This window comes from Homo sapiens, chromosome X (genome assembly GCF_000001405.40).
Source record: "Homo sapiens chromosome X, GRCh38.p14 Primary Assembly".
Classification (NCBI taxonomy): domain Eukaryota; kingdom Metazoa; phylum Chordata; class Mammalia; order Primates; family Hominidae; genus Homo; species Homo sapiens.
The window spans coordinates 151,252,044-151,261,544 of record NC_000023.11 but is presented as its reverse complement, the minus strand read 5'-3'; positions in this window follow the sequence as shown (position 1 = coordinate 151,261,544).

Here is a 9,501-nt window from a genome sequence, read left to right as displayed (position 1 = left end):
GTGCTACTCTAATCTCTTGCCTGGGTTGTCAGACTAACCACTAAAATGTTTTGCCTACTACTAAAATTGGAAAGCCACTGGTCTAAAGAGCAAGTGAATAGTTCAGGAACAATCTAAAGAAAACTCTCAAGGGAAAGTTGAACTCTAGTTTGAAAGAAAATGATAAGTATGATGACTATCCAATACCTTGGAAGAAGAGTGAGGAAATGGCCAAGACCCTAAAGAAAGGAGTGTTTGAAAGCCACTTTTTTAGAGAGGGGAGACGGGATATTAGTGACTGAAAGTCATTGGCAATATCAAATGTTGATAGCCTGATAATTATGCTGTGAAATCTGGCCAGATCAGCAGAAGGGAACTCTGGAGAAGGAGCCAACTTCTGAGAGGTAGATTGGGCTTGAGAAATTGCATGCCCCTCCAATTGTAACTCAGCCCCATGAAGGTAATAATGGTGTCTATTCATAAATGTACTTGCAGTGCCAACCTAGAACTTGGAATATAGTAAATGCTCAATAGTTATTGGTTAAATTAGTGAGTAAATGAGTGAATGGGTTCCCAAAGAGAAAATGGGAAAGGTGTTTATGTGTTGGATAAAACAAAATCCTTTGATCACTGATACACTATCATATTTTCTTTGGGGTTATATAACACAAACAAAAAGTTTATGCTTTATATAGTCTCTCTAAACAGCTTTGGCTTAAAGGATTGCAAAATTAGAAAGTAAAAGAGAAAACAGAAATGTGTCATCATGTCACTGTAGTTTGACCCCCTTTTCTAGAAAGGGAACATACAGAAGTGTGCTAGTCTGAGGAAACTTGGAAGGGAGATTTTGGACAGGAGAGTGATTTTAGATTTTCACTAGCAACTACTTCAGGATGTAACTCCAAAGGAGAAGACTTTTTTGCATCCATGAAGTCATGTGACTAACAGTAATGGATGCCCACTCTTTTTTCTTTTTTTTTTTTTTTTGAGACGGAGTCTCACTCTTTCACCCAGCCTGGAGTGCAGTGCCACAATCTCAGCTCACTGCAACCTCTGCCTCCTGGGTTCAAGCAATTCTCCTGCCTCAGCCTCCTGAGTAGCTGGGACTACAGGTACGTGACACTACACCCGGCTAATTTTTTGTGTTTTTAGTAGAGACGGGGTTTCACTGTGTTAGCCAGGATGATCTCAGTCTCCTGACCTCATGATCTGCCCACCTCAGCCTCCCAAAGTGCTGGGATTACAGGCTGAACCACTGCGCCCAGCCTGGATGCCCACTCTTACAGGTTGACTTGTATCTCTAGAAAAGACATGTTGAAGTCCTAACCCCTGGTACCTCAGAATGTAACTTTAGTTGGAAATAAGGTTTTTACAGAAGTGGTCAAGTTAAAATAAGGTTATTATGGTGGGCCCCTAATCCAATATGCCTAGTGTCCTTATAAAAGAGGGAAATTTAGACACAGGCACCTACAGAAGGGAGACAATGTAAACACACAGGGAGAATGCCATCTACAAGCCAAGGAACCTCTGAAGGTAATAGAAGGTAGGAGAGAAGCCTGGAACAGATTCCACCTCACAACTCTCAGAAGGAACCAACCCTGCCAACACCTTGATTTCTGACTTTTAGCCTCCAGAACTGGGAGATGATAAATTTCTGCTGTTTAACCCACCCAGATTCAATTTGCAGTACTTTGTTACAGCAGCCCTAGCAAACTAATACACTTGCTACAGGTTACAAGATACTTGGAAAGAGATAATGCCTTAGGTTGGGCTATCATAGAAACAGAAGTGAGTGGGTCAACTTAACAGAGGGGCTGAAACAAGAACACCCATCACTGGAAAATGCACAGAGCTATATGAGTAGTATAAAGATGGATTGTGCAAATTCAAAGGAAGTGGAGACTTTATAGTTATTGAGGGGGTGGGGAAAGGCTCTCAGGGAGGACTTTCTGCAAGATGTGTCAGTGGAGCTACACTCTGAGGATGAATAGAATGGGGACATGTAGAGAGGTGATAGGGAAGAAGGAGAAGAACCTTTTCATTTCTAAAAACCTTTAGTAAGAGATTCCTGTAAATAGCCAGCTCTTTATTATATTAAAAATGTAAACCAGCCGGGTGTGGTGGCTCACGCCTGTAATCCCAGCACTTTGGGAGGCTGAGGTGAGTGGATCACGAGGTCAAGAGATCGTGACCATCCTGGCTAACATGGTGAAAACCCATCTCTACTAAAAATACAAAAAATTATCTGGGCGTGGTGGCATGCGCCTATAGTCCAGCTACTCAGGAGGCTGAGGCAGGAGAATCACTTGAACCTGGGAGGTGGAGGTTGCAGTGAGCAAAGATTGCACCACTGCACTCCAGCCTGGGCGACAGAGTGAGACTCTGTCTCAAAATAAATAAATAAATAAATAAAATAAAATAAAAAGTAACCTGAGATTAAAATGGCAAAATTGTTAAGTGTTAAATCTGGGTGATGGATATATGGGAATTCATTATATTATTCTATTTTTATACATTTTTAATGGTTTTTTTTCTTTCTTTCTTTCTTTTTTTTTTTTTTTTTTCACTTTAAGTTCCAGGATACATGTTCAGAATGTGCAGGTTTGTTACCTAGGGGGATACATGTGCCATGGTGGTTTGTTACACCTATCAACCCATCATCTACGTTTTAATCCTGTTGTGCATTAGGTATTTGTCCTAATGCTCTCCCTCTACTTGCCCCCCACCCCTCGACAGGCCCCGGTGTGTGTTGCTCCCCTCCCTGTGTATATGTGTTCTCATTGTTCAACTCCTACTTATGAGTAAGAAGATGTGGTGTTTGGCTTTCTGTTCCTGTGTTAGTTTGCTGAGAATGAGGGCTTCCAGCTTCATCCATGTCCCTGCAGAAGACATGATCTCATTCTTTTTATGGCTGCATAGTATTCCATGTTGAATATGTGCAACATTTTCTTTATCCAGTCTATCACTGATGGACATTTGGGTTGGTTCCAAGTCATTGCTATTGTAAATAGTGATGCAATAAACATACATGTGCATGTGTCTTTATAGTACAATGATTTATAGTACAATGATTTATAGTACAATGATTTATAATCTTTTGGGTATATACCCAATAATGGAATTACGGGGTCAAATGGTATTTCTGGTACTAGATCCTTGAGGAATCGCCACACTGTCTTCCACAAAGCTTGAAGTAATTTACACTCCCAACAATAGTGTAAAAGCATTCCTATTTCTCCACAGCCTCGCCAGCATCTATTGTTTCCTGACTTTTTATTAATCACCATTCTGACTGATGTGAGATGGTATCTCATTGTGGTTTTGATTTGCATTTCTCTAATGATCAGTGATGATGAGCTTTTCTTCATATATTTGTTGGCTGCATAAATGTCTTCTTTTGAGAAGTGTCTGTTCATATCCTTTGCCCACTTTTTGATGGGGTTGTTTACTCTTGTAAATTTTTTTAAGTTCGTTGTAGATTCTGGATATTAGACCTTTGTCAGATAAGTAGATGGCAAAATTGTTCTCTCATTCTGTAGGGTTGCCTGTTCACTCTGGTGATAGTTTTCTTTTGCTCTGCAGAAGCTCTTTAGTTTAATTAGATCCCATTTGTCAATTTTGGCTTCTGTTGCCATTGCTGTTGGTGTTTTAGTCATGAAGTCTTTGCCTATGCTTATGTCCTGAATGGTATTGCCTAGGTTTTCTTCTAGAGTTTTTATGGTTTTGGGTTTTACATTTAAGTCTTAAATCTATCTTAATTTTTGTATAAGGTGTAAGGAAGGGGTCCTGTTTCAGTTTTCTGCATATGGCCAGCCAGTTTTCCCAGCACCATTTATTAAATAGGGAATCCTTTCCCCATTGCTTGTTTTTGTCAGGTTTGTTGAAGATCAGCTGGTTGTAGATATGTGGTGTTATTTCTGAGGTCTCTGTTCTGTTCCATTGGTATAGATATAGATATAGATATATAGATATAGATATATAGATATAGATATAGATATAGATATAGATATAGATATAGATATATAGATATAGATATAGATATAGATATATCAGGTTTGGTACCAGTACCATGCTGTTTTGGTTACTGTATCCTTATAGTATAGTTTGAAGTCAGGTAGTGTGCTGCCTCCAGCTTTGTTCTTTTTGCTTAGGATTGTCTTGGCTATACGGGCTATTTTTTGGTTCCATATGAAATTTAAAGTAGTTTTTTCTAATTCTGTGAAGAAAGTCAGTGGTAGCTTGATGGGAATGCCATTGAATCTATAAATTACTTTAGGCAGTATGGCCATTTTCACAATATTGATTCTTCCTATCCATGTGCATGGAATGATTTTCCATTTGTTTGGGTTCTGTCTTATTTTCTTGAGCAGTGCTTTGTAGTTCTTCTTGAAGAGGTCCTTCACATCCCTTGTAAGTTTTATTCCTAGGTATTTTATTCCCTTTGTAGCAATTGTGAATGGGAGTTCATTCATGATTTGGCTCTCTGCTTGTCCATTGTTGGTGTGTAGGAATGCTTGTGATTTTTGCACATTGGTTTTGTATCCTGAGACTTGGTTGAAGTTGCTTATCAGCATAAAGAGTTTTTGGGCTGAGACGATGGGGTTTTCTGAATATACAATCATGTCATCTGCAAACAGAGACATATTGACTTCCTCTCTTCCTATTTGAATACCCTTTATTTCTTTCTCTTGCCTGATTGCCCTGGCCAGAACCTCCAATACTATGTTGAATAGGAGTCATGAGAGAGGGCATCCTTTTCTTGTGCTGGTTATCAAAGGGAATGCTTCCAGCTTTTGCACATTCAGTATGATATTGGCTATGGGTTTGCCATAAATAGCTTTTATTATTTTGAGATATGTTCCATCAATGCTTAGTTTATTGAGAGTTTTTAACATGAAGAGATGTTGAATTTTATTGAAGGCCTTTTCTTCATCTATTGAGATAATCATGTGGTTTTCGTCATTGGTTATGTTTATGTGATGGATTATGTTTATTGATTTGCATATGTTGAACCAGCCTTGCATCCCAGGGATGAAGCCAACTTGATCATGGTGGGTAAGCTTTCTGATGTGCTGCTGGATTCAGTTTGCCAGTATTTTATTGAGGATTTTAACATTGATGTTCATCAGGGATATTGGCCTGAAGTTTTCTTTTTTGTTGTGTCTCTGCCAGGTTTTGGTATCAGGATGATGCTAGCCTCATAAAATGAGTTAAAGAGGAGTCCGTCTTTTTCTATTGCTTGGAATAGTTTCAGAAGGAATGGTACCAGCTCCTCTTTGTACCTCTGGTAGACTTCAGCTGTGAATCCATCTGGTCCTGTGTTTTTTTGGTTGGTAGGCTATTAATTACTGCCTCAATTTCAGAACTTCTTGTTGGTCTATTCAGGGATTTGACTTCTTCCTGGTTTAGTCTTGGGAGGGTGTATGTGTCCAGGAATTTATCCATGTCTTTTAGATTTTCTAGTTTATTTGCATATAGATGTTTATAGTATTCTCTGATGGTAGTTTATATTTCTGTGGGATCAGTGGTGATGTCCTCTTTATCATTTTTATTGTGTCTATTTGATGCTTCTCTCTTTTCTTATTAGTCTAGTTAGCAGTCTATCTGTTTTGTTAGTTTTTTTTTCAGAAAACCAGCTCCTGGATTCATTGATTTTTTGAAGGGTTTTTCATATCTCTATCTCCTTCAGTTCTGCTCTGATCTTAGTTATTTCTTGCCTTCTGCTAGCTTTTGAATTTGTTTGCTCTTGTTTCTCTACTTCTTTTAATTGTGATGTTAAGGTGTTGATTTGAGATCTTTCCAGCTTTCTCATGTGGACATTTAGTGCTATAAATTTCCCTGTTAACTCTGCTTTAGTTGTGTCCCAGAGATTCTGGCACATTGTCTCTTTGTTCTCATTGGTTTCAAAGAACTTCTTGATTTCTGCCTTAATTTCATTATTTACCTAGGAGTCATTCAGGAGCAGGTTGTTCAGTTTCCATGTAGTTGAGTGGTTTTGAGTGAGTTTCTTAATCCTGAGCTCTAATTTGATTGCACTGTGGTCTGAGAGACTGTTATGATATCCCTTCTTTTGCATTTGCTGAGGAGTGCTTTACTTCCAATTATGTGGTTGATTTTAGAATAAGTGTCATGTGGGACTGAGAAAAATGTATATCTGGCTGATTTGGGGTGGAAAGTTCTGTAGATGTCTATTAGGTCCACTTCATCCAGAGTTGAGTTAAAGTCCTGAATATCCTTGTTAATTTTCTGTCTCATTGATCTGTCTAATATTGACAGTGGGGTGTTAAAGTCTCCTACTATTATTGTGTGGGAGACTAAGTCTCTTTGTAGGTCTCTAAGAATTTGTTTTATGACTCTGGGTGCTCCTGTATTGGGTGCACGTATATTTAGGATAGTTAGCTCTTCTTGTTGTGCTGATCCATTTACCATTATGTAATGTACTTCTTTGTCCCTTTGTCTTTTTTGTTAATCTTTGTTGGTTTAAAGTCTGTTTTATCAGAGACTAGGATTGCAAACCCTGCTTTTTTTTTTTTTTTTTTTTTTTTTGCTTTCCATTTGCTTGGTAAATAGTCCTCCCTTCCTTTATTTTGAGCCTATGAGTGTCTTTTCACATGAGATGGGTCTCCTGAATACAGCACACCAATGGGTCTTGACTCTTTAACCAATTTGCCAGTCTATGTCTTTTAATTGGGGCATTTAGCCCATTTACATTTAAGGTTAATATTGTTACGTGTGAATTTGATCCTGTCATCATGATGCTAGCTGGTTATTTTGCACATTAGTTGATGCAGTTTCTTCATAGTGTCATTGGTCTTTATATTTTGGTGTGTTTTTGCAGTGGCTGGTACCGGTTTTTCCTTTCCATATTTAGTGCTTCCTTCAGGAGCTCTTGCAAGGCAGGCCTGGTGGTGACAAATCTCTCAGCATTTGCTTATCTGTAAAGGATTTTATTTTTCCTTCTCTTTTGAAGTTTAGTTTGGCTGGATATAAAATTCTGTTGGCCCCCATGGTCTTCTGGCTTGGAGGGTTTCTGCAGAGAGATCGGCTGTTAGTCTGATGGGCTTCGCTTTTTAGTTGACCTGACTTTTCTTTCTGGCTGCCCTTAACATTTTTTCCCTCATTTCAACCTTGATGAATCTGACAATTATGTGTCTTGGGGTTGGTCTTCTTGTGGAGTATCTTAGTGGTATTCTCTGTGTTTCCTGAATTTGAATGTTGGCCTGTCTTGCTACATTGAGGATGTTCTGGATAATATCCTGAAGTGTGTTTTCCAACTTGGTTCCATTCTCCCCATCACTTTCAGGTACACCAATCAATCGTAGGTTTGGTCTTTTCACTTAGTCCCATATTTCTTGTAGGCTTTGTTCATTCCTTTTTATTCTTTTTCCTCTGATCTTGCCTGCATGCCTTATTTCAGCAAGGTGGTCTTCAATCTCTGATATCGTTTCTTCCATTTGATCGATTTGGCTATTGATACTTGTGAATGCTTCACAAAGTTCTCATGTTGTGTTTTTCAGCTCCATCAGGTCATTTGTGTTCCTCTCTGAACTGGTTATTCTAGAAAGCAGTTCCAGTAACCTGTTATCTAGGTTCTTAGCTTCCTTGCATTGGCTTAGAACGTGCTCCTTTAGCTCAGAGGAGTTTATTGCCCACCTTCTGAAGCTTAATTCTGTCAATTTGTCAATCTCATTCTTGGTCCAGTTTTGCGCCCTTGCTGGAGAGGTGTTGTGATCATTTGGAGGAGAAGAGGCATTCTGGCTTTTGGAATTTTCAGCGTTTTTGCACAGATTTTTTCCTCATCTTTGTGTATTTATCTACCTTTGATCTTTGAGGCTGATTACCTTTGGATAGGGTTTTTGCGTGGGGGTCTTTTTTGTTGATGTTGTTGTTGCTTTCTGTTTGTTAGTTTTTCTTCTAATCGTCAGGTCCCCCTTCTGCCCATCTGCTGCAGTTTGCTGGAGGTCCACTCTAGACCCTGTTTGCCTGGGTATCACCAGTGGAGGCTGCAGAACGGCAAAGATTGCTGCCTGCTCCTTTCTCTGGAAGCTTTGTCCCAGAAGGCAGTAGCCTGATGACAGCCAGAGCTCTCCTGTATGAGGTGTCTGTCGACCCCTGTTTGGAGGTCTCTCCCAGTCAGGAGGCATGGGGTTTAGGGGCCCACTTGAGCAGGCAGTTGGTCCCTTTGCAGAGCTGATGTGCTGTGCTGGGAGAATCACCCTTGTCAGGATCAGCTGCTCTCTTCAGACCCAGCAGGCAGGAAAGATTAAGTCTGCTGAACCTGCGCCCACAGCTACCCCTCCCCTCAGGTGCTCTGTCCCAGGGAGATGAGAGTTTTATCTGTAAGCCCCTGACTGGGGCTGCTGCATTTCCTTCAGAGATGCCCTGCCCAGTGAGGGGGAATCTAGAGAAGCAGTCTGGCCACAGCCACTTTGCCACACTGTGGTGGATTCCACCCAGTCCAAACCTCCCAGTCTCCTTAGCACTGTCACGGGAAAACTGCCTACTAAAGCCTCAGTAATGGTGGATGCCTCTCCTCCCACCAAGCTCTACCGTCCCAGGTCAACTCCAGATTGCTGTGCTGGCAGTGAGGATTTCAAGCCAGTGGTTCTTAGCTTGCTGGGCTCCATAGGAGAGGGAGCCACTGAGTGAGACCACTTGGCTCCCTGGCTTCAGCCCCCTTTCCAGGAGAGTGGACAGTTCTCCTGTCTCACTGGAGTTCCAGGTGCCGCAAGGGTATGAAAAAACCCCTGCAACTAGCTTGGTGCCTGCCCAAACAGCCGCCCAGTTTTGTGCTTGAAACCCAGGGCCCTGGTGGTGTAGGCTCAAGAGGGAATCTCCTGATCTGCAGATTGCAAAAATCCGTGGGAAAAGCGTAGCACCCAGGGTGGGTAGCACTGTCCCTTACCGCTTCCCTTGGCTGGGGAGGGAGGTCCCACAGCTCTGTGCACTTCTTGGGTGAAGTGAGACCAACCCTGCTTCTGTTTACTCTTTGTCGGTTGCACCCACTGCCTAACCAGTCCCAATGATGTGAACTTGGTACCTCAGTTGGAAATGCAGAAATCACCTGCCTTCTCTGTTGGTTTTAATGGGAGCTGCGGACCGGAGCTGTTTCTATTCGGCCATCTTGGCCCCTCTCCATTTTAAGGTTTTCATATGAAAATAAATATGTATGCAGGTATGTATTTGTATCAGTGACCAACATTTTATTAATATTCACTAATGCAGAATAATAGTTTTTCAAACCAAGCAAGTTCCAATTTGAATATTAAAAGTCAATTTTTTTTTCTTATAGATCAGGAGTCAGTGTGGTCTCAGAGGAGGAATAGCACACATATCAGCTACTTAAATTGAAACTGTTGAGGCACTGAGTCCATTGGGAACTTGGGGGTGTGACAGTGCAGGCCTATTGGCATCCTGTGTCATAGGCTTTAGACTCTGGTTTCCACTCTGTTCTATGCCTGGCCTCTCTGGGATGTTTCTTATTTTCATAATGGTTTCAACTTTGATTGCTTTTTAACCAAA